Here is a 25,840-nt window from a genome sequence, read left to right as displayed (position 1 = left end):
CGCCAGAGCTCCAGTCCCGCCCCTCAGGACTGTGCCTAGCCCACGGCGCAGTAGCCCCAGCCAAGCTAAATTGGACCAATGGGCTCCGGCTCCCGCCTCCCGCCCGCCGCGGCCTTATAAGGAGCCTCAAGCCGGCTGTCGGGCTGGCCCCGCCCCCTCGAGTCTCTTGTCCTAATAAGGACATCTAGGGCATCCCGCGGCTGGGGGCGGGCGAGAGCGCGTCTCCAGGGTAACTGCGAAGCCCCCCTCTCTCTCCCCGTTGCTCTTGGAAACTCTAAGGCTCAGAAAAGGGGGCGCTAGCCTCATATTCATGTAGGGTCGCTCGCGGGAGGCGGGGTCAAGCTGCTGTCTCCACCTGGAGCGCCGGGAGTCCGGGCGGGGGCGGTGCTGTGGAATGTCCCCGACTACAACCCCCGGTATGCTCTGCAAGGTACCCCACTCCCAGGCATCGCTCTCCGTTTACACCCTTAATTCCGTTTATAGGATTAGGGCCCCCAGTTCCCTTTCTGGGTTTGCCTCTGACTTGTTTGCGACCCAGTCTTTTCCTGCAGAGTGTGAGGCTGTGGTCACTGTTCTAGAACAACAAAATCATCCCGGAGTCCCCCGCTCGTTTCTTTTTTTTTTTAAGGCATATACTACCACAGAACTTGTCTCAGTTTTGCGGATGTTAGAATAACCATGTACCTGGCTATCAACTCGAGAGCTGGGTTCAAGTCTGGTTTAATATCTATTTCTTCTCATTGGCACGTAAAGGCATGTAAAGAAGCCTTGAATTGAATGCACAAACCCTCGTCTTTACCCTTTAACGCCTCATGACTTTGCCAAACATCTTTAAACAAGAACAAAGCTCTCAGAGATTTCCTTGTACCTTTCCCCTGTGCCTTTTCCTCCTATTCTTGTTTTACTGACGTTGGACATGGCCTTTTTTCAGGAGACGAGAGTGGCTTTACACATGCAGAGTACTAGTGTTTATCCGACTGACGACGCCTTCATACTTGTGATTTCCTTTGCTTTAGGTCGGGATTCCAGGCTAATCAATAGTTGCTTCGATTCAGAAATGCAAAACCCTAACCTCACTCAAAAATTTCAGGCCAAGGGATCCAGATAATACCAGATGGGTCTTAAGAAAGCCGTTTTGCTGTGGGATAAAGAGCCGCTTAGTCGGGGATCGTTTTCGGGTCATTTTACTGAGCGCCGCCTCGCCGGGCTCAGAGCGGTTCCTGGGAAATTGGACCAATGGGCTCGCGCTGCGCGCTGCGGTGCCGCCCAGGACCTGGGCCTACATTTCCCTACATGCACTGCAGCTCGGAGCCGGCCGGCGGGAAGACTCCGTTACCCAGCGAGCGAGGCGGCGGCGCAGGGCCAGCGGACTCCATTTCCCGTCGGCTCGCGGTGGGAGCGCCGGAAGCCCGCCCCACCCCTCATTGTGCGGCTCCTACTAAACGGAAGGGGCCGGGAGAGGCCGCGTTCAGTCGGGTCCCGGCAGCGGCTGCAGCGCTCTCGTCTTCTGCGGCTCTCGGTGCCCTCTCCTTTTCGTTTCCGGAAACATGGTGAGCGGCAGGCCACGGCGCCTGAGGGAGGCGGCTGCGGGTCGGTCGCCTGCGCGCGGGAAGCGACTGGGGAGCGACGTCCGCACCCCCTCCCCCAGCGCCCCGGGCGGGATGAGGGTCTCGCACGAAGGGGCGGGCGGTGCCGGAATGCGCGTGCGCGCCCGTGGGCGCCGGGGAGGGCCGGTCTGGACGTCGCTCGCGCTCCGCCTGGGCTCCCCTCCCCCACCCGCTGGTGCGCCCGCGCGGACACCGGCCGCGGGGGGAGGGGTTCGGGGCGCGCGCTGGGGCGCCCCTCGCGGAACGGCCGGCGTCGCGCCTTTCTTCTTAGGGGCGCGCTCTCGACTGGAGCATGCGGCGTCCAAACCCGGCCCGGGGGCGGCGAGGAAAAAGCGCGCGAGAGGTCTCGGCGCGCGCGCCCCACCCAAGGCTGTTCCTGTCTGCGCGTCACCCTCCCTCGGCAGCCGGGTCCGTCTCGGGAGCAGGTGGCAGGGATGCCTGCGCCCGGGAGGGGCGGGTGCTGGCGCGGCGAGGGGTGATGCTGGGAAGACGGGGTCCCGGTTGGGGCGTGGGTGCCTGCGATTAAGGCCTTGCACCGCAAGGCTTGGAGGGGGCATCGCAGAGACCGCGGCCCGTTCGGGAGCGCATCTAACGAGCTGCGTTCTCACCCGTGCATCGGGCGAGGGCTGGAACGGCGCTGTCTGTCGGCGCGTGCGCGCACGCTCAGGCCCGGCCGCCGGTGCCGAAGCCCTGGGCCAGCGAGGCCTTCCCGGATGGGCCTGAGTGAGGGTGGAGCCGAGTTTAGGGAAGTGACCCAGGCGGGCACCGCCCGGAAACCACCCCGCCCCCTGTATACGGCCCGAGGGCTGAGAAAACCGAAGGTTATGTAGCTTGCCCAGGCTCCTGCCTGCAGGAGATGGGTCTGATACACCCGTTGTTTTAGGGCGATTCCACAGGGTTAGGGACCTGGAGATGCTGCTGCCTCTCGGATACGCGTTTCTGCATTGGTGAGGGGGCCGGGCCCAGCCGATCTCCTGTCCCCGCCCACTCCGGATGCGGCCGAGTCACGTGGCCGGCTTCTTCTGCAGTTCCGGGGAGTTTGGGGGACCAGATTTACCTTGGATTGCCCCTCCCTCTCCTGGCTCGGGCACCCCGAAGCACGACGCAGAGTAGGAAGAGTTTAAAGACCTCGAGGCCTCTGGGCACTTGAGTTTGGCATGTTAATTTTTATCAGCGACTTCTGGGGCCTAGCACCATTCCCGGAAGAAGGGAGTTGTCGGGCAGGGTCCTTAATGGGGGTTGCAATTCTTGTCTTGGTTGGGAAAGAGCCTAGCTGGGAACAGGGGTCGTTTGTGTAGTAACTGTATTAAGCAGTTCTGGTGGGTTTGTTGTAACTGTTCGGTGTCCTTGGGGTCCCATCTAGCATTGTGGGGTCTTGGCTCTTTCTGAAGAGGAGTCTTGGCTCAGGTGTTTGGGTCCTCCATATCCGAAGTTCTAAATCACCAGTTTTATCCAAAGGCTGAGAGCAAGTACTGTGAGTAGCAAATGAGTCAGTAGCCGGTGGATCTTTTAATTCTGGGTTCACATTTTGGTCAAGGTTCTGCTTTTCACGAGTTTTGCATTTCTATCCTGTAAAATGAGGGAAGGGGTTGTTGAACTAGGTGATCAGAGGCCATGGCTGCCATTCTGAGGTTGTGTCCCATCTGGTTCTTTGACAGTGACTTGGGTGGGAAAACTAGTGACTTGCCTTGGGAAGGGCACTAGTGACCACTCGGGACGTGGACTGAGATCTTCTGAAAAAACAAGGGGCAGTTCCCTAGAATCCTTTTCTTGACGTATACGTGGCATGTCTCCTAGGCCTCCGGTGTGGCTGTCTCTGATGGTGTCATCAAGGTGTTCAACGACATGAAGGTGCGTAAGTCTTCAACGCCAGAGGAGGTGAAGAAGCGCAAGAAGGCGGTGCTCTTCTGCCTGAGTGAGGACAAGAAGAACATCATCCTGGAGGAGGGCAAGGAGATCCTGGTGGGCGATGTGGGCCAGACTGTCGACGACCCCTACGCCACCTTTGTCAAGATGCTGCCAGATAAGGACTGCCGCTATGCCCTCTATGATGCAACCTATGAGACCAAGGAGAGCAAGAAGGAGGATCTGGTGTTTATCTTCTGGTGAGCTCATTCTGGCACTTCTTCCTGTCACCTGCCCCCTTTCTCATGATGGGAACTTCTGTGGCTCCTGGTCAACCCAGATGTGTGGGTTTGGAGGGGGAGGGGGTTGTAACAAAAGACTCCTCACTGCCAGCCCAAGGGTTTCTCAAAGTCACCTGTGGCTTTGCTGTTGCTGGGAGTTGCCTGACGCGTGTTTCTGTCCAGGGCCCCCGAGTCTGCGCCCCTTAAGAGCAAAATGATTTATGCCAGCTCCAAGGACGCCATCAAGAAGAAGCTGACAGGTAAGGGCCAGCATTGGTGCTGAGTGCCCTTCTGCTCTGGCCTTGGCTGCAGGGCAGGGTGAATGGCACGCAGAGGGGGTCTGCCCCCTTGTCTTCGCTGCCTGCTTGTTCCTTCCATCTGCTTTGATTGGCTCCTTCCCAGCCACAGAAACTACCCCCACCCCAGTGCTTCCTGCTCACAGATGCTCCCCTTTCTTCTTTATAGGGATCAAGCATGAATTGCAAGCAAACTGCTACGAGGAGGTCAAGGACCGCTGCACCCTGGCAGAGAAGCTGGGGGGCAGTGCCGTCATCTCCCTGGAGGGCAAGCCTTTGTGAGCCCCTTCTGGCCCCCTGCCTGGAGCATCTGGCAGCCCCACACCTGCCCTTGGGGGTTGCAGGCTGCCCCCTTCCTGCCAGACCGGAGGGGCTGGGGGGATCCCAGCAGGGGGAGGGCAATCCCTTCACCCCAGTTGCCAAACAGACCCCCCACCCCCTGGATTTTCCTTCTCCCTCCATCCCTTGACGGTTCTGGCCTTCCCAAACTGCTTTTGATCTTTTGATTCCTCTTGGGCTGAAGCAGACCAAGTTCCCCCCAGGCACCCCAGTTGTGGGGGAGCCTGTATTTTTTTTAACAACATCCCCATTCCCCACCTGGTCCTCCCCCTTCCCATGCTGCCAACTTCTAACCGCAATAGTGACTCTGTGCTTGTCTGTTTAGTTCTGTGTATAAATGGAATGTTGTGGAGATGACCCCTCCCTGTGCCGGCTGGTTCCTCTCCCTTTTCCCCTGGTCACGGCTACTCATGGAAGCAGGACCAGTAAGGGACCTTCGATTAAAAAAAAAAAAGACAATAATAAAAAGGCTCATTAATGGGATGTGTTTTTCAAGGTTGGGACACAGGAGACTTCAGGATTGGGGGTGCACTGGGATAATGGTGCTATCTCTCTCCTCTGTACTCCACACCCAACCAGCCCCTGCACACCCTTATCTGGCTCCAATGACTGGCTGAGACGCCTTTCTGATGGTCACCATTATTCTGTTGGTGCTGTGATTGACACTGGACTGGCTGTTTAAGGAGTGGGTGCTGGCTACAGGGGTCTTCCAGCGGAAGTGATTTATGCCTGAACTGGGTGCTCTGTAGCCTTGCCTGGATGGACAGTGAGGTCCATCTGATATTCTGTTCTGTCCCTTTCTAGGTGTGGGCTGATAGGCAAGTCAGAGGTAGCTCAAAGGTTCTGTTTGGTCTGCTGTCTTCCCTGGATGGCTGACTCAAGTTTATGAGGGTCAGGTTCAGTGGCTGCTGTGAGTCAGGCCAAGTTGAGCCTTTGACCTCCTCTAGATGTGGCTGGAGTGCATTCAGGGTGGGGCCAGCCAGGTGGAGCCCGGGACTTCAGACCCCGGTGTCTTGAGCACTGCCTCCCTGTGTTTAACCAAAAGGGTGTTGCCGGTACCCTGAGCCTTTTGCCAGCATTGTCAAGGGCTGTTTCCAGCCTGTACTTTGGGCTTTTTCCTGCCCAGCAGGCAAAGACATACAAGAAATCTGGCCCTAGGGTGAGGTGAACTGGGAGTGGTAATGTGGCATCTATATTTCCCTTATCAACTGAACTGAGGAAGAGTCCTCCTGGTGTTACAGTTGGCTCCATAACTCCTGGGAACTTGTGAGCGGTTCTGGGAGGAAGGGCTAGATCCCTTTTCTGGTTAGGAAATAGGTGTGGAGAACTTGGGATTCATTTTTGTGCTAGGGTTTATGGGGGTAGGGGCAAACCTGGAAGACTTCTGGGGTTCCTAGGTCCCAGCTTCTGGGTGTCGCGCCTTCCCACAGGGAGCCTGCTGTCACTGGAGAGAGGGCTGAGGATGCTGCAGGGGTGCCCTCCTTGGTGTCTCCAGGATCTGATCATACTGCCTTGGCAGAAAGTGTGCCTGGTGGACCTTTGAGCTGTGGGAAGGGAAGTAAGGACAACAGGCCTCCTTGCTACAAAACCAGGGTTTTTATTTGCGAAGGAGAACAGGCCGGGATCAAGTGAGCTATGATTCCTTCAGGGCTATGGGTGAGGGTAGAGGCTGTTCCTCAGCTTCCTGGGGAGAGGTGTCAGGGTCCCTGGGGCTCTGCTGACTGTGGCCAGTTATGATGCCCATGCTGCCCTGTGTCTTGCAGGGCCTGGCACCTGTGGTGGTGGTGATAGGGGGTTTGGGCTTTCCCTGAGAGGATGTGGGGCAGAGTGAGGGTGTGGCTAGTGGCACTGCTAGGGAAGGAGACATCTTGCCGGAGAGAGGGGTCTGGGATACCCTGGTCACTGGAGATCCCAGATTAGGGTCTGGCTGAGCTCTGGCTACTCTAAGGCTCCCCCTTTAGGGCAACAAGGGTGTTCCGGAGAATCAGGGTGCTGGCCTGCAGAGGAGAAACAGGTCCTTGAAGTCCCCTGCTCCCTGAGTCAGGCTGCCATTCTTTCTGCACCTTAGATGCTCCCTCGCTCCCCACACCCCTGCTCTCTGCAATAACAGCTGCTGTTAATTGGGCCTTCCTACCCAGAAGGCACGGGTCCTGAGCCAGGGAAGCATGGCCCCAAGCCTTAGCTGGGGCTCCTCTCATGCACACACACGCGCATACATGCGTGCACACCCTCACATGCACGCACACCCTGGTGCCTGGGGGAGGGAGGGAGGTGGGAGGTGGGAGGCTTCACAAGGGCCCAGTGAGGTGGGAGGGCTCACCTTGGCGTGTTTGAGCTCCAGCTCTGCCAGCTCAATGAGATTCTTTCGAAAAGAGGAGACCCGGCGGGACTTGAAGTCCATGAGCTCTGGAGAGGAGGGGAAGAGGCATGGGGATCCGGGCAGGGCAGGGCATGTGGCCCCAGGCTGGGGCTGGGGGCTGCGGGCTCACCTTGCTTGGCGGAGTCGGAGAGGCGCTCGAAGCGTTGGCAGCACAGCTGCTGGTGGCTCTCGGCGGGCCGCACCTCCCGGTTCCTGGTGCGCGCCTTGTCCAGCGCCTTGTTGGCATTCTCGTAGTCGGCCAGTGCCCGCAGCCGCCGGTACAGCAGGTCCTAGGACCATGGGCACAGGGTCACTGCTGCCCTGTCCTGGCATCCGGGCCTGAGCGCTGCGCTGGGGCTGCCTCTCACCTTGGCTGCCTGTGAGTCACGCATGTAGTACCTCAGCATGTCTGACAGCTTCAGGTCCTCATCGGAAGCCACCCGGCCCTCCAGCTTCTGCATCAGAAAGGTGGGCACTGGGAAGGGAGCTTGTCAGAGGGGCAGCTAAGGGGTGGGAGGCACCTCTTCATCTAAATATCCAGCAAAGAAGCCTTAGGTAACTGTTCCAGGTCAGGTCTGGTGTTGAGGGGTGCAGGCCAGGGAAGGCTTCACAGAGGAAGTGGGATCTAGTCTGGATCTCGGGGACTGAGTAAGAGCTGGACAGAGGGCGCTGAGGGCTTGGCAGCTGTGCAAGCCCGGCTATGTGTTCAGGGAAACTTTAGTTCAGGGAGGGCACTTGGGCAAAGCAGGGGAGGGAGGCAGTGGCTGGAGCACAAGAGGCTGAAAGTGGAAGCTCAGGACTTTAGGAGCTTCCAGAAGGGGCAGGGTCTCTGAAGGGCCTTGAGCAGGGAAGAGATGCGGTCCAATAGACATTTTAGGAAGATGGCAACACTCCAGTGACTTTCTTAGGGAAGAGTGGGGAACATGTGTGCCCGGGCAGTGTGCTGGCAGCTGGGTGCAGCCTGCCAGAGGTTTGGGCACACCCTTGTGCCTCCCAACCCTCCGCTGCTGCACACGTGCATACATGTGCATGCCCCTGCACCCCCCAACACACACACGAAGCTGGATCCTTGTCTTCACCCCACCTTTTGTTAAACTAGTCTGGAGTGTAAGCCCAACTTGCCACTGGGCCCAAGTTATCACTGAACCCAAGATGATCCTGGAGCTCTTCCCTCTGCCAGGACTCATCTTCCCTGCAAAGCTCACCAGGAAAGCCTTTGAGCACAGAAGGCAGTACTCACCCTCAGCCGTTCAAAGAGCTCTGCCAATTTGAGGAAGCTCCTAGGAAGCAGTAGGGAGGGAGTTAGGGTAGGGGGCTGAGGAACAGCTCAAAGCCTCTCTGTCTCAGCCTCTCCTTGGGAATCTCCCTCTCCCCTTTCCTTCCCAACACCATCCCCCAACAGGAGAGCCTACACCTCCCACCTAGAGCTGACAGTAGACATCTACAGAGTGACCCCTCATGGGAAGACATGGTATTACAGGCACAGGGAGAGGGTAGGGGTGGGGGGAGTCCTCACGTCCTTAGCTGGTTGACTTCCTGTGTTCCCAGACTGCTCAGCGCAGCTGAGATAGGGATATAATCGTCTGCCAGGCCTGTTGGGGAACAGCCCCCATCAGAGCCCCTACATCTGCATGTCAAGCCTTGGTGCTTGTGGCCACAGACAAACAACAAGGCACGCCCTGCTCTCTTCTCTCCCCCAAGGAGTTGAACCGCTGGGGAGAGGGGCAGGGGGATCCAGGACCCCTTGGGCCCTGCGTACACTTGTGGGCGCGCATGACGCGGTCGGCCCGCAGGCAGGCATCTCGGATACGGGTGTGATACTCCAACAGGAAGGTCCTCTCATGCTCAAAGAAGTCATCCACCTCCTAAGGGAGCCAGGCAGGACCCCATTTACACTGGGTCACCACGGGGCTTGACAACACAGGCACCCAGGGTTGGCAAAATCTCCTTCCAAACCAGGCCAGGCCCCACCAGTGGCTTCCTTCCCACACCCAGCCTGGGCCTCAATCTGTGCTGTGGACTTGAGGTGCTGGGTTGAATCCGGAGAGGAGCACCAGGGGTTACCTTGAGCCCTGACATGCCCGTGATGAGGGCTTCATCCGCGGACTTCACAATATTCCTCAGAAACCCTCCGAGGAGCTCCTTCCTGTTCTTCCCCCGGACACTCAGCTGAGGCACACAGGGAGGGTATGATGCTGGGGTGGGCGTTCTCACCTCCCACCCCAAGTTGCAAGCCACTCACGGAGCTGTGACACAGGATTGGGCCCACTTGGGCCCCTTCTCCAGCCCTGCCACCCCTGGGTGCCTCCCCACCCAAGGTAGACTCCTGGCCCAAGGGTGACCCCAGGGATTCGGCCCAGCTCACATCCTGTCCATATTCCAAAAACACAAAGAAGTTGTGGTCTCGACGCAGGGTGGGGTGGGCCGCCAGGCGCTGCAGAAAGACTTCGTGCATCGCAACTGTCTTCTTAAAGATGGCCAGGTACTCCCTGCGAGAGTGGCAGCAGCTCACCGGCCCTCCTCAGCCCCCATCATCCTGCCTGCCCCCTTTCTGGGGTCAGAGGTCAGGGTTGCTAAACATTCATGGGGAGATAGCTGGGGAAGACATCTGGACTCTGGGGATGGCAGGGAAAGGAGGGGGCACTCACGCTTCCAGCTCCTGCTTCATCTTGGCAAACTCTTCCCGAGTGACAGAGCTGTCCCCCTCGCCCAATTTCTGTAGCTTTTCCCTCGAAGCCTCAAAGTCTGGCCTCGGAGGGGCTGGGGGGATCTGCTCAAAGGAGGGACGGAGCTGGGAGGCCTCTCACTGCCGAGACGGCCATCACAGCCTTTGGTCCTCACCCAAGTGCTCTGCCTGTCCCTCCCAGCCCCTGCCCAGCCCCTCCTCACGATGAGGCCGGCGTACTCCTCATTCTCCACGTAGGCATCATGCAGCCAGATGAACTCCTCGTGCTGCCGCACGACTGAGAACTCGGTCTGGGCGAAGTGAGGGAGGCAGCTCTGGAAGCGGGAAGGCCAACTGAGGTCCTCTCTCTGCCCCAAGCCCTGCCTCAGCAAGTCTGGGCATGCACTTTTGGGCCCCCCTCATCCCACATCCCAGGGAGGACAAAGTTAGAGCTCAGGTGTGCATGATTTCATTTAGAATGGTGGACAGGAATGATTAGGACTCGGGGCCTTAGGCAGAGCTAAGAGGCTCACTTTCCAGGAGGGGCTGAGGGCAAGTGCCAGGTGGAGGAAGAGTGCCCACAGGCTGTGTTGGCACATGCCTACCACCCCCTGGGGGAGGCCTCCTGCGGGCAGCCACCAGGACCTTTCCTCGTGCCCCGCACTGCCTCACCTTTGTTTGAACAGTGAATTTCACCTTGTCCCGCTCACTCACTGCGTCAGAAATCTCCACCTGTAAGGAGCTGTCTCCCTGCAGATCCACCGATGCACAGGAAGGCTGCGGAGGAGGGGAGGTCTCTGGCCTGGCTGAGCATGGCCCCTTTGCCCTTCCTTGCCCTGCAGGCTTTCTGATCCACCTGCAGAACCCTCTTCAGCAGCACTGCTTCAGCAATGCCCCAGGTCACCAGAGAGGGGTCCTGATAAGGCACTGACCTGAGTTTTGCAACTGCCAAAACATTTTAACCCTCCCATCCTTGGAGGCAGGCAGAAAACTTCCCATTTTACAGCTGTTGAAGCTGAGACAACCAGAGGAGAAGTAACTTGTCCAAGGTTATGCAGCTGCAAAGCGACAGTGCCAGATTGAAACCCAGTTGTTGTTTCTTTGTTTGTTTTTTTAGACGGAGTCTTGCACTGCCCAGGCTGGAGTGCAGTGGCGCGATCTCAGCTCACTGCAACCTCCACCTCCCGGGTTCAAGCGATTCTGCTGCCTCAGCCTCCCGAGTAGCTGGGACCACAGGCATGAGCCACCATGCCTGGCTAACTTTTGTATTTTTAGTAGAGACGGGGTTTCACTATGTTTGGTCAGGCTGGTCTCAAACTCCTGACCTCAAGTGATCCACCTGCCTTGGCGTCCCAAAGTGCTGAGATTACAGGCATGAGCCACCGTGCCCAGCAAAACCCAGTTTCTTAATTCCCAACCCCATGCACTTTCTCAGTTACTTGCCCACCCCTTCCCCAGCTGGCTACCTCAGGCATCCCTTAACCAGGGCTTCAAGTGAGTTGGATGAGACATTCCCACCTCTTTTGCGGGGGTTGCCAAAACCATTCCATTTACTACTTTTGGTGCCAAGAGGCAAAAGCTTACATGCAAAGCATGTGTATTTCTTCAAGTGAAAAGATCCACAAGACACCAAGCTACTAGCTCATTCTTGCATTGAGCTATTCAACATGTATTTATTTATTTTTGAGACAGGGTCTCGCTCTGTCACTCAGGCTGTAATGCAGTGGTGCCATCATAGCTCACTGCAGCCTCCAACTCCTGGGCTCAAGTGATCCTCCTGCCTTAGCCTCCCGGGTAGCTGGGACTACAGGCATGTACCACCATGCCAAGCTTTTTTTTTTTTTTTTAGAGACAGAGTCTTGCTATGTTGCCCAGGCTGGTCTCAAACTCCTGGGCTCAAGCAATCCTCCCACCTCAGCCTCCCAAAGGGCCGGAAGCAACATGCATTTATTGAATACCTACTGTGTCCACACCATAGTGCCAAGTGATATTAGGGGGAAGGGAAGAGGCTTAGGAATCACTCTACCCTTCAGCATTGCTCACCAGTATACAACAGGCACCTGTCCCACCTCTCAATCTGGAGGCCTCCTCACTCTCTCCTCTCTCTGCTTTTGGCACACTTTGGAGATGGTCCCTGAGATGGGGCTTGGTGATATGTGGGTCCAGAAACAGGCAAGACCTTGCTTGATGGTGGCCCATCTGCAGTAGTGATGTCTCCTCCCTGGATGGAGATCCCTGCATCTGTCCCCTCCTCCTGGCTGTCCGGCATGAAGGAATTGACCCTGAGGTCACTGGCCACTGTTTACAGGGTTATCTCTACATTGTTTCTCACTTTTTTTTTTTTTTTGATAGCATCTTGCTCTGTCACCCAGGTTGGAGTGCAGTGAAGTGATCTCGGCTAACTGCAAACTCTGCCTCCCAAGTTCAAGCAATTCTCTTGCCTCAGCCTCCTGAGTAGCTGGGATTACAGGCACACGCCACCACTCCCAGCTAATTTTTGTATTTTTAGTAGACACGGGGTTTTGCCATGTTGGCCAGACTGGTCTTGAACTTGTGAGCTCAAGTGATCTGCCTGCCTCGGCCTCCCAAGGTGCTGGGATTACAGGTGTGAGCCACTGCACCCAGCCCCCTTTTGTTTTTTTAATTAAGGTATAAGTTATATACAGGAAAGTGCACAAATTTTAAGTGTAAAGCACCAATTATTTGTATATGTGTATACAGCTGGGTAACCATCACCCAACTCAGATCATGATAGATATATATTTTATTTATTTATTTGGAGACAGGGTCTTGCTCTGTCACTCAGGCTGGAGTTTGGTGGCGCCATCACAGCTCACCGCAGCCTCCGTGATGAGCTGGGCTCAGACAATCCTCCTGACTCAGCCTTCCAAGTAGCAAGGACCACGGGCATGTGCCACCATGCCCAGCTAATTTAAAAATTTTTTTTTAAAAGTGCTGTAATCCAGCACTTTGGGAGAGAGGCTGAGGCAGGAGAATTGCTTGAGCCCAGGAGTTTGAGACGAGCCTGGGCAACATGGTGAGACACCCTTCGACCCCCATCTCCACAAAAAAACTTTAAAAATTAGCTGGGTGTGGTGGCACATGCCTGTGGTTCCAGCTACTTGGGGGGGGCTGAGGTGGGAAGATTGAGCTTGGGAGGTGCAGGCTGCAGTGAGCCAGGATCTCGCCGCTGCACTCCAACCTAGGTGACAGAGTGAGAAACTGTCTAAAAAAAAAAAACAAAAAAAACTAAAGCTAAATTTTTTTTTTTGAAATGGAGTTTCACTCTTGTTGCCCAGGCTGGAGTGCAATGGTGCAATCTCAGCCCACCACAACCTCCGCCTCCCGGGTTCCAGCGATTCTCCTGCCTCATCCTCCCAGGTAGCTGGGATTACAGGCGCCCGCCACCACGCCCAGCTAATTTTGTATTTTTAGTAGAGATGGGGTTTCTCCATGTTTGTCAGGCTGGTCTTGAACTCCTGACCTCAGGTCATCCTCCCGCCTTGGCCTCCCAAAGTGCTGGGATTACAGGCGTGAGCCACCGTGCCTGGCAAAAAACATTTTTTTAAACACTCCGGAAGGCTCCTTCTTGCCCCACACCCATCAATTATCTCCCACCCCAGAACTAACCACCATTCTGACTTCTATCACCATAGATTATTCTGGCGTATTCTTTTTTTTTTTTTTCGAGACAGAGTTTCACTCTTGTTGCCCAGGCTGGAGTGCAATGGCACGATCTCAGCTCACTGCAACCTCTGCCTACCAGGTTCAAGCAATTCTCCTGCCTCAGCCTCCCGAGTAGCTGGGATTACAGTCATACACCACCACGCCCAGCTAATTTTGTATTTTTAGTAGAGATGGGGTTTCTCCTTGTTGAAGCTGGTCTGGAACTCCTGACCTCAGGTGATCCGCCCGCCTCGGCCTCCAAAGTGCTGGGATTACAGGCGTGAGCCACCGCACCCGTCCTGGCCTATTCTTTTTTTTGAGACGAAGTCTCACTCTGTCGCCCAGGCTGGAGTGCAGTGACATGATCTCAACTCACTGCAACCTCTACCACTCAGGCTTATGGGATTCTCCTGCTTCAGCCTCCCAAGTAGCTGGGATTACAGACGCCCACCACCACGTCCAGCTAATTTTTGTATTTTAGCAGAGACGGGGTTTCACCATGTTGGCCAGGCTGGTCTTGAACTCCTGACCTCAGGTGATCCACCCACCTTGGCCTCCCATAGAACTGGGATTACAGGTGTGAGCCACTGAGCCCAGCCTATGCTGGCCTGCCTATTCTTGAACTTCACAGAAATGCAATTATGCATTGTGTATTCTTTTGTGCCCCTGTTCTTTAGAGAGCTCTCTACGTTGTTGAGTGGAGAAGCAGTTATTTTCATTGCTGTGTCTTATTTCATTACATGATTATATCATAATGTATGTATCTACTGTTGATGGTCATTTGGATTATTTCAAGTTTTTGGCTATTATGAATAAAGCTGCCATGAACAGTTTTTTGTTGGTTTTTTTTTGAGATGGAGTTTTGCTCTTGTTGACCAAGCTGGAGTGTAATGGCAAGATCTCGGCTCACTGCAACCTCTGCCTCCTGGTTCAAGCGATTCTCCTGCCTCAGCTTCCTGAGTAGCTGGGATTACAAGCATGGGCCAGCATGCCTGGCTAATTTTTTGCATTTTTAGTAGAAACGGGGTTTCATTATGTTGGCCAGGTTGGTCTCAAACTCCTGACCTCAGGTGATCCGCCCACCTTGGCCTTCCAAAATGTTGGGATTACAGGCGTGAGCCACTGCAACCGGTTACTTTTTTTTTTTTTTTGAGATGGAGTCTTGCTCTGTTGCCCAGGCTGGAGTGCAGTGGCACGATCTCAGCTCACTGCAACCTCCGCCTCCCGGGTTCATGCCATTCTCCTGCCTCAGCCTCCCTAGTAGCTGGGATTACAGTCATACACCACCACGCCCAGCTAATTTTGTATTTTTTAGTAGAGACGGGGTTTCACTGTGTTAGCCAGGATGGTCTCGATCTCCAGACCTCATGATCCGCCCGCCTCGGCCTCCCAAAGTGCTGGAATTACAGGAGTGAGCCACCACACCCAGCCTTTTTTTTTTTTTTTTTTTTTTAAAGCAGGGGGGTGTTCTCGCTATGCTGCCCAGGCTGGTTGAACTCCTGGCCTCAAGCCATCCTTCCACTTCAGCCTCCCAAGTAGCTGGGATTACAAGTGTGCAGCACCATGTCTGGCTTCCATGAACATTCTTACACAGGTCTTTAGAAGACTTTTTTTTTTTTTTTTGAGACAGAGTCTTGCTGTGTCACCCAGGCTGGAGTGCAGTGACGTGATCTTAGCTCACAGCAACCTCCGCCTCCCAGGTTCAAGTGATTCTCCTGCCTCAGCCTCCTGAGTAGCTGGGGATACAGGTGCCCGCCACCACGCCTGGCTAATTTTTGTAATTTAGTAGAGATGGGGTTTCGCCATGTTGGCCAGGCTGCTCTTGAACTCCTGACCTCAAGTGATCTGCCCGCTTCGGCCTCCCAAAGTGCTAGGATTACAGATGTGAGCCACCACGCCCAGCCGTCTTTTGAGGACTTTTGACCTAAGTCCCCATTTCTGTTGGGCATGAGAATTGCTTAGTTACAGGGAAGACATATTGTATGTTTAAAACACTTTAGTAAATACTGCCAAACGGTTTTCTAAGGTGACTAAACCAATGTACACTCCCAGCAGCACTGTGTATGAAAGTTCCAGTTGTACTACATCTTTGCCACAGAGTCGTTAGTCATTTTATCTCTCTCTCTCTCTATTTATTATTTTTTTTTTTTTAAAGAAAAGGGGTCCTGCTAATGTTGTCCAGGCTGGCCTTGAACTGGGCTCAGGCAATCCTCTGGAGTAGCTGAGAGCTGCTTTTGTGTACACGTATCAATTGACCTATTAAGTATGATAAACTTTGGACTCTCTGTTCCATTGGTCTATGTTTGTCCTTATGATAATATCTCACTGGACTGATTACTGTAATCTAACAGGTGAGACTGGAAATCAGATAGTGCAAGGCCTCCACCTTTATTCTTTTTTTTCAGAATCATTTGGGTGATTATAGGTCCTTTACATTTCTACCCCTGAAAAACATACTGGGATTTTGATTGTGATTGCATCGAATATATAGATCAGTCTGGGCACAAACCACTGTGACAGCTCAGAATTGTTAGTCTTTTTTACTTTCACCCTGTTAGTCCAGGCATGGTAATTGCGCATGGGGAGTGTAACTGGTATTACCTGGTGAGGAATGATGTTGAGCGGCATTTTCTGTATTTATCAGCCATCTGCATATCTTCTTTTGTAAAGTGCCTATTCAGGTCTCTGATTCTTTCCTGCCACCTCTTTGAAAGATCAGATTATCTGTTTTTCAGTAATTTGTAGGAACTGTTGCTGGAGACAAACCCATTGTTGATTATACCTTTTGTCAGTATCTTTTCCTAGTCTATAGTTTGCCTTTGACTCTTAATGGTTCAAATGTTACAAGCTCAACATAACAGTCTTTTATGTCTATGGTTAAGGCTTTTTGTGTCCTGTTAAAGAAAACTTTGCCTACCCCAAGGTCATGAAGATATTCTATTTATTTTTCTAGAGGTGTTACAGTTTAAGCTCTTGCAGTTGTATCTATAATCCATTTTCTTTTTCTTTTTCTTTTTCTTTTGAGACAGAGTCTTGCTCTGTTGCCCAGGCTGGTGTGCAGTGGCACGATCTTGGCTCATTGCAACCTCCGCCTCCCAGGTTCGTGATTCTCCTGCCTCAGCCTCCTGAGTAGCTGCAATTACAGGTGCCCGCCACAACGCCTGGCTAATTTCTGTATTTTTAGTAGAGATGGGGTTTCACTCTTTTGGCCAGGCTGGTCTCAAACTCCTGACCTCAAGTGATCTACCCTCCTTGGCCTCCCAAAGTGCTGGGATTACAGGCATGAGCCACCCTACCTGGCTATGATCTATTTTCAATTCATTTTCTTCATTTTAATTTTAATTTCTTTTTCTTTTTTTTTTTTTTTTGAGACGGAGTCTTGCTCTGTCGCCCAGGCTGGAGTGCACTGGCGCAATCTCGGCTCACTGCAAGCTCCACCTCCTGGGTTCAAGCCATTCTCCTGCCTCAGCCTCCCTAGTAGCTGGGACTACAGGTGCCCACCACGCCCAGCTAATTTTTTGTATTTTTAGTAGAGACGGGGTTTCACCATGTTAGCCAGGATGGTCTCGATCTCCTGACCTCATGATCCCCCGGTCTCGGCCTCCCAAAGTGTTTCTTTTTTTTTTTTTTTTTTTTTTTGAGATGGAGTTTCGCTCTTGTTGCTCAGGCTGGAGTGCAATGGCGGATCTCGGCTCATTGCAACCTCCGCCTCCCAGGTTCAAGCGATTCTCCTGCCTCAGCCTCCCAAGTAGCTGAGATTACAGGCGCCCACCACCACACCCAGCTCATTTTTGTATTTTTAGTAGAGACGGGGTTTCACTATGTTGGCCAGGCGGTCTCGAACTCCTGACCTCAGGCGATCCACCCCCCCTTGTTCTCCCAAAGTGCTGGGATTACAGCCATGAGCCACCGTGCCTGGCCTAATTTTAATTTCTTGAGATGGAGTCTTGCTTTGTCACCCAGGCTGGAGTGCAGTGGCACGATCTTGGCTCACTGCAGCCTCTGCCTCCTGGGTTCATGCCATTCTCTTGCCTCAGCCTCCCAAGTAGCTGGGATTACAGGCGTGTGCCACCAGGCCCAGCTAATTTTTTTGTGTTTTTAGTAGAGACAGTGTTTCACCATGTTGGCCAGTCTGGTCTCAAACTCCTGACCTCAGTTGATCCACCTGAGCCTCGGCCTCCTAAAGTGCTGGAATTACAGGCATGATCCACCACGCCCGGTGATTTTCAATTCATTTTGAATATGCAGTGTGAGGTATGGGTTATGATTCATTGTGCCATGTGGCCAGCTATTTGAGCACTGTTTGTTATAAAGATTTTCCTTTTGCTATTGAATTGCTTTGGTGTACACATATCCATTGACCTATTAAGAGTGACAAATTTTGGACTCTCTACTGTGTTCCATTGGTCTAAATGTTTATCCTTATGATAATATCTTACTGTCTTGATTACTGTAACTTGACAGGTGCGACTTGAAATCAGATAGTGCAAAGCCTCCAACTTTATTCTTTCTTTTCAAAATAATTTTGGCTATTATAGGTCCTTTACATTTCTACAGATATTCTGCTTGTTAATTTCTACCCCTCAAAAATGTACTGGGATTTTGATTGTGATTATATCAAATATATAGATCAATCTTGGAAGACTAGATCTCTTTGTAATTTTATAATTTATAATTTTTAATCTTCCAATCTAAAAACAGGTAATATCTTTCCAATTATTTAGGTCTTCTTTAATGTTTTGTAGTTTTCTGTGTAAAGGTCTTGCATGTCTTCTGTGAGATTTATTCCTAGGTATTTGATGATTCTCTTTTTCTTTGCTTTTTATTTTTATTTTATTTTATTTTTTATTTTTTGAGACAGAGTCTTGTTCTTGTTGCCCAGGCTGGAGTGCGATGGCGCAATCTCGGCTCACTGCAATCTCTGCCTCCTGGGTTCAAGCGATTCTCCTGCCTCAGCCCCCCAAGCAGCTGGGATTATAGGCGCCCTTTCTTTGCTTTTTAAATTATATTTTAAAAAGTTTCATCTTCTAATTGTATATAGAAACACAATAGACTGGGCATAGTGGCTCATGCCTGTGAACCCAGCACTTTGGAAGGCTGAGGCAGGAGAATCATTTGAGCCAAGGAGTTCAAGGCCAACCAGGGCAACATGGCGAAACCCTATGTCTACAAAAAAATACAAAAATTAGCCAGGTGTGGTGGCAAACACAGGTAGTCCCAGCTACTTGGGAGTCTGAGGCAGGAGGATCGCTTGAGCCCAGAAGGTCGAGGCTGCTGTGAGCCATGATCACACCATCATACCACTGCACTCCAGCCTGGATGACAGTGCAGGACACTGTCTCAAAAAAAAAAAAAAGTCCAGGCGAGGTGGCTCATGCACTTTGGGAGGCCGAGGCGGGTGGATCACCTGAGCTCAGGAGTTCGAGGACCAGGCTGGTCAACATGGTAAAACCCCGTCTCTGCTAAAAATACAAAAATTAGCCAGGTGTGGTGGGGGGCGCTTGTAATCCCAGCTACTCAGGAGGCTGAGGCAGGAAAATCCCTTGAACCCGGAGGCAGAGGTGGCGGTGAAACAAGATCGCACCATTGCACTCCAGCCTGGGTGACAAGAGTGAAACTCCATCTCAGAAAAAAAAGAAAGAAAGAAAGAAAAAAAAACCATAATAGATTTTTATATATTTACCTTGGTCCCCACAAATTTACTTGTTAATTTTAATAATTTTTTAAAATATCTTGCTGAACTCACTTATTAATTTAATCGTTTGTAGATTCTTTTTTTTTTTTTGAGACAGGGTCTTGCTCTGTCATCCAGGATGGAGTGTGGTAGTGCCATCTTGGCTCATGGCAGCCTTGAACTCCCAGGCTCAAGGGATCCTCCCACTTCAGCCTCCTGAGTAGCTGGGACTACAGGCATCTGCCACCATGCCTGGCTAATTTTTGTATTTTTTTGTAGAGATAGGTTCTCACTATGTTGCCCAGGTTGGTCTCGAACTCCTGGGCTCAAGAGATCTCCTAAATTAGGCCTCCCAAAGTGCAGAGATTACAGGCCTGAGCCACCTTCCTGGCCAGTTCTTTTGGATTTCCTGCATATACAGTCCTATAATCTAAAATGATGACAGTTTTAGTTCTTCCTTTCCAACCTTTATACCTTTATTTCTTTTTACTGCCTTATTATACTTGCCAAGACCTCCAGTACAATGTGGAAGTGATGATATGATGACATGTTCCTAATCTCAGAGGGACTGCATTTAAATTTAACCCCAAAGTGATTTTAGATATTTTTTTTAATCAAGGGTATCTTAATGAAGCTTAATGGAGCTCCCCGCTATCCCTAATTTGATGAGAGTGTTGATTTTTATCAATCTTTTTCCTTTGATTGAGATAATCATATGGATGTTCTTGTTATCTGTTTATTTATTTATTTATTTTTTTGGAGACAGAGTTTCACTCTTGTTGCCCAGGCTGGAGTGCACTGGCGCGATCTTGGCTCACCACAACCTCCGCCTCCCAGGTTCAAGCAATTCTCCTACCTCAGCCTCCTGAGTAGCTGGGATTACAGGCATGCACTACCATGCCCGGCTAATTTTGTATTTTTAGTAGAGACGGGGTTTCTCCATGTTGAGGCTGGTCTCGAACTCCTGACCTCAGGTGATCCGCCCACCTCGGCCTCCCAAAGTGCTGGGATTACAGGCGTGAGCCACCGCGCCCGGCCTTTGTTATCTGTTTATATGCTGAATTTCATTGATTGATTTGCAAATGTTAAACCACCTTGCATTCCTGGAAGAAGGCCTTGTTCATGAAGTATTATCCTTTTATATATTGCTTATTCAGCTTGATAATTTTTTTTTTTTTTTTTGGGACAGGGTCTCACTGTGTCACCCAGGCTAGAGTGCAGTGGTGTGATCATGGTTCACAAAAAAAATTTTTTTAGTTACTTATTTTCCAGCCGGTGTGCGGTGGCTCATGCTATAATCCCAGCACTTTGGGAGGCCGAGGCGAGTGGATCACCTGAGGTCAGGAGTTCAAGACCAGCCTGGCCAACATGGTGAAACATCGTCTCTACTAAAAATACAAAAAAATGCCTGTAATCCCAGCACTTTGGGAGGCCGAGGCGGGCGGATCACGAGGTCAGGAGATCGAGACCATCCCGGCTAAAACGGTGAAACCCCGTCTCTACTAAAAATACAAAAAATTAGCCGGGCGTAGTGGCGGGCGCCTGTAGTCCCAGCTACTTGGGAGGCTGAGGCGGGAGAATGGCGTGAACCCGGGAGGCGGAGCTTGCAGTGAGCCGAGATCCCGCCACTGCACTCCAGCCTGGGCGACAGAGCGAGACTCCGTCTCAAAAAAAAAAAAAAAAAAAAAATACAAAAAAATTAGCTGGGCGTGGTGGGGCACAGCTGTAGTCCCAGCTACTCGGGAGACTGAGGCAGGAGAATTGCTTAAACCTGGCAGGCGGAAGTCGCAGTGAGCTGAGATTATGCCACTGCACTCCAGCCTGGGCAATGAAGTGAGACTCCCTCTCAAAAATAATAATAATAATAATAATTACTTATTTTCTTTAGTGTCATATACTCAAGGCTTTCTTCTTTTCTAAAATATGCATGTGGTGGTATAAATCTCCCTCTGGAAACTGTGTATCTTATGAGTTTCGATATGTCATATTTTTGTAATCATAAATTTAAAAATATTTTCTAATTTCCATTATAATTTCTTCTTTGGCCTAAGAGTTATCTAGAAGCATGTTGCTTAATTTCCAATATTTTGGAATCTAGTTATGTTTTTGTTTTGATTCCACATTAATTCTGGGTCAGAGTATATAATCTATGATTTCGTCTTTTAAAATTTATTGATACTTGCATTATAGCTCAACATTTCATTTATTTTGGTAAATGTTTCATGTGCATTTGAAATAATGTATTTTCTGCAGTTGTTGGGTATAGAGCTCTACATAAGTCAATTAGATCAAGTTGATTAATCATGTTATTTAAATCTTCTAAATCCTTACTAATTTTTTTGTCTGCTTGTTCTAACAGTTGTTGAGAATTGTGTTAGAATTTCTAACTGGTCTGGGCATGGTGACTCATGCCTATAATTCCAGCACTTTGGAAGGCTGAGGTGGGAGGATCACTTGAGCTCAGGAGTTGGAGACCAGCTTGGCCAACATAAAAAGACCCCATTTCTAAAAAATAAATACAATTACTTACTATTTAATTGTAGGTTTGCCTATTACTCCTTTTAGTTCTGTCATCTTTTATTTTGCATATTTTGATGCTATATTATTAGGTGCCTATAAATTTAGGATTGTTTTACCTTTCTGTGGAATCAAGTCTTTCATCATTATAAAATGTCCCTCTTTATTTCTCCTTCCTTCCTTCCTTCCTTCTTTTCTTCCTTCCTTCCTTCCTTCTTTCTTTCCTTCTTTCTTTCTTTTTTTGACAGAGTTTCACTCCCGTCACCCAGGCTGGAGTGAAATGGCATGATCTTGGCTCACTGCAACCTCCGCCTCCCAGGTTCAAGTGATTCTCCTACCTCAGCCTCCCGAGTAGCTGGGATTACAGGTGCCTGCCAGTACACCTGGCTAATTTTTGTATTTTTAGTAGAGACGGGGTTTCACCATGTTGGCCAGGCTGGTCTCAAACTCCTGACCTCAGGTGATCTACCCACCTTGGCCTCTCAAAGTGCTGGCATTACAGGCGTGAGCCACCGCACCCAGCCATCCTTCTTTATTTCTAATATACTTCTTCTTCTTCGTTTTTTTTTTTTTTTTTTTTGAGAGAGTCTTGCCCTGTTGCCCAGGATGGAGTACAGTGGCGAGATCTTGGCTCACTGGAACCTCCATCTCCCGGGCTCAAGCCATTCTCCTGCCTCAGCCTCCTGAGTAGTGGGGATTACAGATGTGTGGCACCATGCCCAGCTAATTTTTGTATTTTTAGTAGAGATGGGGGTCCGCTCTGTTGGCCAGGCTGGTCTCGAACTCCTGACCTCAAGTGATCTGCCCACCTTGACCTCCCAAAATGCTGGGATTACAGGTGTGAGCCACTGTGCCTGGCCCTTTTTTGGTTTTGTTTTGTTTTAAAGACAAGGTCTTACTCTGTGTCCCAGGTTGGAGTGCAGTGACACAATCACAGCTCACTGTAACCTCAAACAATCCTGAGCTCAAGCAATCCTCCTACCTCTGCCTCCCACATAGCTGGGACCACAGGTGTGCATCACTATGCCCAGCTCCCACCCATTTATGTCAACCCTTCTGTGTCCTTATATTTAAAATATGTCTCTTTTAACAAACTCTAGTTGTTTTTTTTCCAAAATACAATCTGACAATATTTTTTTAAATTGGAGAATTTAGTCCATTCATAATCATTGTAATTACTGATGTAGCAGGCTACCAACTTGTCATCTTGCTTTTTGCTTTCTCTTTGTCCCATCTGTTTTTATTCCTGTATTCTTTCTTTCTTGTCCTCTTTTGGATTATTTAAATAGTATTTTATATTATTTCTTTTATTTGTTTATTTTAATTTTTAAATTTTACTTTAAGTTCTGGGATACATTTACAGAATGTGCAGGTTTGTTACACAGGTATACATGTGCCATACTGGTTTGCTGCACCTATCAACCCGTCATCTAGGTTTTAAGCCCCACATGCATTAGGTATTTGTCCTAATGCTGTCCCTCCCCTTACCCCCCAGCCCCCCACAGGCCACAGTGTGTATTGTTCCCCTCCCTGTGTCCATGTGTTCTCATTGTTCAACTCCCACTTATGAGTAAGAACGTGTGGTGTTTGGTTTTATGTTCCTGTATTAGTTTGCTGAGAATGATGGCTTCCAGCTTCATCCAGGTCCCTGGAAAGGACATGATATTCTTTTTTATGGCTACATAATATTCCATAGTGTATATGTGCCACATTTTCTCTATCCAGTCTATCATTGATGGGCATTTGGGTTGGTTCCAAGTCTTTGCTATTGTAAATAGTGCTGCAACAAACACGTGTGCATGTGTCTTTATAGTATAATTATTTATAATCCTCTGGGTTTATTTATTTATTTTTGAGACAGATTCTCGCTCTGTTGCCCAGGCTAGAGTTCAATGGTGCGATCTTGGCTCACTGCAACCTTTGCCTCCTGGGTTCAAGCTATTCTCCTGTCTCAGTCTCCCAAGTAGTTGGGATTACAGGTGCGCACCACCACGTCTGGCCAATTTTTTGTATTTTTAGTAGAGATGGGGTTTCACCATGTTGGCCAGGCTAGTCTTGAATTCCTGACCTCAAGTGATTTGCCTGCTTTGGCCTCCCAGAGTGCTGCGATTACAGGCTTGAGCCACCACGCCTGGCCAGTATTTTATATTATTTCATTTTCTCCTCTATTATATTTTTGCTTATATATTCTTTTAATGTCTCTATATTTAAAGGAAGATCTTAGAGAAGGCAACACCTAACCTAGAGGATAAGTACTGGTAGTGAACTTTCAGAGTATGGCTCCTGCAAAGGCTGGGGGGTGCATCCATCTGTTCAATAGCTCAGCACATCCTCAGAACATACAGCAAAAATAATATAACAATAATAATAATATAATAGCTAACCCTTATGTTGGCCCTTACAATATGCTAGGCACCACTCTAACCATTTCATGTATATGCCCTAAGCATTTTATATATGTTAACTCCTTTAACCATGAAGATGAACATACATAGATAAACATTGAAGCAGACCATTCTGTTCCATGCTTTGTGTCTCTCAGCCCCTCTTGCCCCTCTAAACCACTTGAACCCCGCTCCTCATTTCTTGGCTTCTCTGACACTCCCAAGGCAGGCTCTCCCCTTGCCCCAGACCCCAAACACATGCAGTCTGGCTAACTGGTGCAGCAGGTCCCCTAGTCCCCAGCCTCTTTCCTCCTGCCTTAGTATCTCTACTCTGACCTACACTGCTTGGTAGCTGCTTGAGGGAGATGGGCCTCAAAGGTGGACCACAGCTGCTCCATCCTCATCCTCAGCCACGGCCCACTATGCATATGCCTCCATCTCCCAAAAGGGTGCACCTCTCCATGCTCTAACCATCCTTGGCACAACGTGGATGCTCGACAACTCTTTGCTGAAGGAAGTCAAAAGGAAGAAATGGTCTTATCATTACATGAACTCAGAACACAAGTGAAGCCATTAGGGCTGAACAGGATTCTCTCGCCTTGGGAAAGGAGAAGAGGATGCCAGCCTCTGCTCAATCCCTAACATCCTGCCCTCCTCCCCGCCCTCACCTCCCACCCCCTACCCACCTACCCCCATCAAGACAGCCTGAGTTGGTCTTGGGGAGGGTAAGAGTGACAGTGACGGGTCCCTTTCCATCTGTAAGGACAAAGGCAAAACCCTGCCTCCCTTGGCATCCTCATCAGTCCGCACACAGGTGCCACAGAGGCTCCCCACTCCCTTGCTCAAGTCTCCTTTCTCTCACTTGCGCAGACACACACATACACACAGAGACACATGGGCACATACACACACACAGACACACGAGACAAACACAGACACACGCACACACAGACACACATAGAAACACACACAGATACACAGACACACACAAACACACAGGCACAGAGAAACACACACACAGACACACACAACGACATACACAGATCATACACAGGCACACAGACACACACAGATGCACACACAGACACACTGACATAGACACACACAGATATACAAAGACACACGGATACAGACACACACAGACACATGCAAACACACACACAGACCCAGAAATACACAGACACACACACACAGACACACGCAGACCATACACACACACAGAGACACACACACACAGACATAAAGATGCACGCAGACCATACATAGACACAGAGACAGACACACACTCAGACACAAAGAGACACAGACCTGCGCAGACACACACAGGCACATGCGTGCACACACAGATACACACAGAGACACACACAGATGCATACATGCACACATGCAGACCATACACACAGACAGACACAGACACAAAGACACACGCAGACCATACACAGACACAGACACACAGACACACACACACAGACATGCACAGACACACACAGAGACAGACACAGACATGCACGCACAAACACCCACATGGACGCATACGTGCACACACACAGACACACACAGGCCATACACACACACACAGAGACACGGAGACACACAGACACACACACAGATACACAGAGACACACAAAGACACAGACACACACTGAGACACACACAGACACACAGACACACAGAGACACAAATACAGACATACACAGATACACACACACACAGACATATGCAGGCACATCGACATACACACAGACACACAGAGAAACAGACACATGCAGACTATACACACACAGACACACACAGAAACACACAGAGGCAGACCACACACACACAGACACACACACACCACCGCATGATTGGGCATCACGGGCTTTCATGGAGTGAGGGGAGGCTGGGGTGGGGGTCTTCATCCTTTCTCTACCTTGCCCTCCTTCCCAACCTCCGCATACGTCTCCATCGCTCTCCTGGGCTTCAGCGTCCGGCCACTGCCCGCGTGCTCCCGCAGGTCGTCCCCGTAACTCGCCCGAGGAACTGACCGAGTGAGGATGCTCTCAGCTGACGGGGACGCTCTCCCCCGCCCGGCCAAGGAGTCGCCTGGAGTCGGGGGCGGTTCCCACCGCGTTTCCCTCAGCCACGCCTTTCGATTGGGTAGCGGGGCACCGCGCGTGACGCCATTGGCTGCATTGTCTGTCGTTCCTGTCCCAGGCCCCAGCTTT

General features: G+C 50.9%; 2 protein-coding genes across 2 annotated transcripts, besides 15 other annotated features; one reads left to right on the top strand and one right to left on the bottom strand.

Moving 5' to 3' along the window:
• Window positions 12–91: a silencer, noted in NCBI's record as "silent region_3560". NCBI's record gives its function as "represses an Ori minimal core promoter by ATAC-STARR-seq in GM12878 lymphoblastoid cells {active_cell/tissue: GM12878}" and the evidence as "EXISTENCE:reporter gene assay evidence [ECO:0000049][PMID:35858748]".
• Window positions 262–351: an enhancer, noted in NCBI's record as "active region_5014". NCBI's record gives its function as "activates an Ori minimal core promoter by ATAC-STARR-seq in GM12878 lymphoblastoid cells {active_cell/tissue: GM12878}" and the evidence as "EXISTENCE:reporter gene assay evidence [ECO:0000049][PMID:35858748]".
• Window positions 912–981: an enhancer, noted in NCBI's record as "active region_5013". NCBI's record gives its function as "activates an Ori minimal core promoter by ATAC-STARR-seq in GM12878 lymphoblastoid cells {active_cell/tissue: GM12878}" and the evidence as "EXISTENCE:reporter gene assay evidence [ECO:0000049][PMID:35858748]".
• Window positions 1,355–1,895: an enhancer, noted in NCBI's record as "H3K27ac hESC enhancer chr11:65625223-65625763 (GRCh37/hg19 assembly coordinates)". NCBI's record gives its function as "activates a minimal SCP1, AML or CMV promoter by ChIP-STARR-seq in primed H9 embryonic stem cells {active_cell/tissue: H9 hESC(primed)}" and the evidence as "EXISTENCE:reporter gene assay evidence [ECO:0000049][PMID:30033119]".
• Window positions 1,355–1,901: a biological region, named in NCBI's record as "H3K27ac hESC enhancer GRCh37_chr11:65625223-65625763".
• Window positions 1,372–1,421: an enhancer, noted in NCBI's record as "active region_5012". NCBI's record gives its function as "activates an Ori minimal core promoter by ATAC-STARR-seq in GM12878 lymphoblastoid cells {active_cell/tissue: GM12878}" and the evidence as "EXISTENCE:reporter gene assay evidence [ECO:0000049][PMID:35858748]".
• CFL1 (cofilin 1) lies at window positions 1,467–4,974 on the top strand. Its single transcript, NM_005507.3, has 4 exons — window positions 1,467–1,550; window positions 3,405–3,712; window positions 3,917–3,993; window positions 4,199–4,974. The coding sequence occupies exons 1-4, from the start codon at window positions 1,548–1,550 to the stop codon at window positions 4,309–4,311; spliced, it is 501 nt and encodes a 166-aa protein (NP_005498.1). The 5' UTR covers window positions 1,467–1,547; the 3' UTR covers window positions 4,312–4,974.
• Window positions 1,502–1,901: a silencer, noted in NCBI's record as "silent region_3559". NCBI's record gives its function as "represses an Ori minimal core promoter by ATAC-STARR-seq in GM12878 lymphoblastoid cells {active_cell/tissue: GM12878}" and the evidence as "EXISTENCE:reporter gene assay evidence [ECO:0000049][PMID:35858748]".
• A 971-nt stretch (window positions 4,975–5,945) lies between the features above and the next one.
• On the bottom strand, window positions 5,946–25,684 carry SNX32 (sorting nexin 32). The gene is made up of 13 exons (NM_152760.3): window positions 25,546–25,684; window positions 10,065–10,169; window positions 9,617–9,727; window positions 9,376–9,497; window positions 9,093–9,216; window positions 8,792–8,896; window positions 8,487–8,592; window positions 8,244–8,319; window positions 7,968–8,007; window positions 7,096–7,182; window positions 6,858–7,017; window positions 6,689–6,774; window positions 5,946–6,365 (listed from the first exon to the last, which is right to left on the bottom strand). The coding sequence occupies exons 1-13, from the start codon at window positions 25,579–25,581 to the stop codon at window positions 6,312–6,314; spliced, it is 1,212 nt and encodes a 403-aa protein (NP_689973.2). The 5' UTR covers window positions 25,582–25,684; the 3' UTR covers window positions 5,946–6,311.
• Window positions 6,765–6,814: an enhancer, noted in NCBI's record as "active region_5011". NCBI's record gives its function as "activates an Ori minimal core promoter by ATAC-STARR-seq in GM12878 lymphoblastoid cells {active_cell/tissue: GM12878}" and the evidence as "EXISTENCE:reporter gene assay evidence [ECO:0000049][PMID:35858748]".
• Window positions 6,865–7,084: an enhancer, noted in NCBI's record as "active region_5010". NCBI's record gives its function as "activates an Ori minimal core promoter by ATAC-STARR-seq in GM12878 lymphoblastoid cells {active_cell/tissue: GM12878}" and the evidence as "EXISTENCE:reporter gene assay evidence [ECO:0000049][PMID:35858748]".
• Window positions 7,332–8,193: an enhancer, noted in NCBI's record as "H3K27ac-H3K4me1 hESC enhancer chr11:65618925-65619786 (GRCh37/hg19 assembly coordinates)". NCBI's record gives its function as "activates a minimal SCP1, AML or CMV promoter by ChIP-STARR-seq in primed H9 embryonic stem cells {active_cell/tissue: H9 hESC(primed)}" and the evidence as "EXISTENCE:reporter gene assay evidence [ECO:0000049][PMID:30033119]".
• Window positions 8,315–8,609: a silencer, noted in NCBI's record as "tiled region #3467; HepG2 Repressive DNase matched - State 12:CtcfO". NCBI's record gives its function as "represses a minimal TATA promoter and a strong SV40 promoter by Sharpr-MPRA in HepG2 cells {active_cell/tissue: HepG2}" and the evidence as "EXISTENCE:reporter gene assay evidence [ECO:0000049][PMID:27701403]".
• Window positions 8,715–8,874: an enhancer, noted in NCBI's record as "active region_5009". NCBI's record gives its function as "activates an Ori minimal core promoter by ATAC-STARR-seq in GM12878 lymphoblastoid cells {active_cell/tissue: GM12878}" and the evidence as "EXISTENCE:reporter gene assay evidence [ECO:0000049][PMID:35858748]".
• Window positions 25,603–25,692: an enhancer, noted in NCBI's record as "active region_5008". NCBI's record gives its function as "activates an Ori minimal core promoter by ATAC-STARR-seq in GM12878 lymphoblastoid cells {active_cell/tissue: GM12878}" and the evidence as "EXISTENCE:reporter gene assay evidence [ECO:0000049][PMID:35858748]".
• Window positions 25,603–25,829: a biological region, named in NCBI's record as "ReSE screen-validated silencer GRCh37_chr11:65601289-65601501".
• Window positions 25,617–25,829: a silencer, noted in NCBI's record as "fragment chr11:65601289-65601501 (GRCh37/hg19 assembly coordinates)". NCBI's record gives its function as "represses an EF-1alpha promoter that drives an FKBP-Casp9 reporter gene in an ReSE screen in both phorbol 12-myristate 13-acetate-treated (for megakaryocytic differentiation) and untreated K562 erythroleukemia cells {active_cell/tissue: K562 | K562(+PMA)}" and the evidence as "EXISTENCE:reporter gene assay evidence [ECO:0000049][PMID:32094911]".

The sequence above is a fragment of the Homo sapiens genome, chromosome 11, assembly GCF_000001405.40.
Source record: "Homo sapiens chromosome 11, GRCh38.p14 Primary Assembly".
NCBI classification, from domain to species: Eukaryota; Metazoa; Chordata; class Mammalia; order Primates; family Hominidae; genus Homo; species Homo sapiens.
This window is presented reverse-complemented; position numbering and strand designations above follow the sequence as displayed.

Excerpts from the sequence above, each read along its gene's own strand:
- CFL1 (NM_005507.3), top strand. Across the intron at positions 3,713-3,916 it reads GATCTGGTGTTTATCTTCTG|GGCCCCCGAGTCTGCGCCCC; the intron begins GTGAGCTCATTC and ends GTTTCTGTCCAG. Across the intron at positions 3,994-4,198 it reads CATCAAGAAGAAGCTGACAG|GGATCAAGCATGAATTGCAA; the intron begins GTAAGGGCCAGC and ends TCTTCTTTATAG.
- SNX32 (NM_152760.3), bottom strand. The coding sequence starts at position 25,581 with ATGGAGACGTATGCGGAGGTTGGGAAGGAGGGCAAG. Across the intron at positions 8,593-8,791 it reads CGGGCATGTCAGGGCTCAAG|GAGGTGGATGACTTCTTTGA; the intron begins GTAACCCCTGGT and ends TGGCTCCCTTAG. Across the intron at positions 6,366-6,688 it reads TGGAGCTCAAACACGCCAAG|GCCAGCACCCTGATTCTCCG; the intron begins GTGAGCCCTCCC and ends TCTCCTCTGCAG.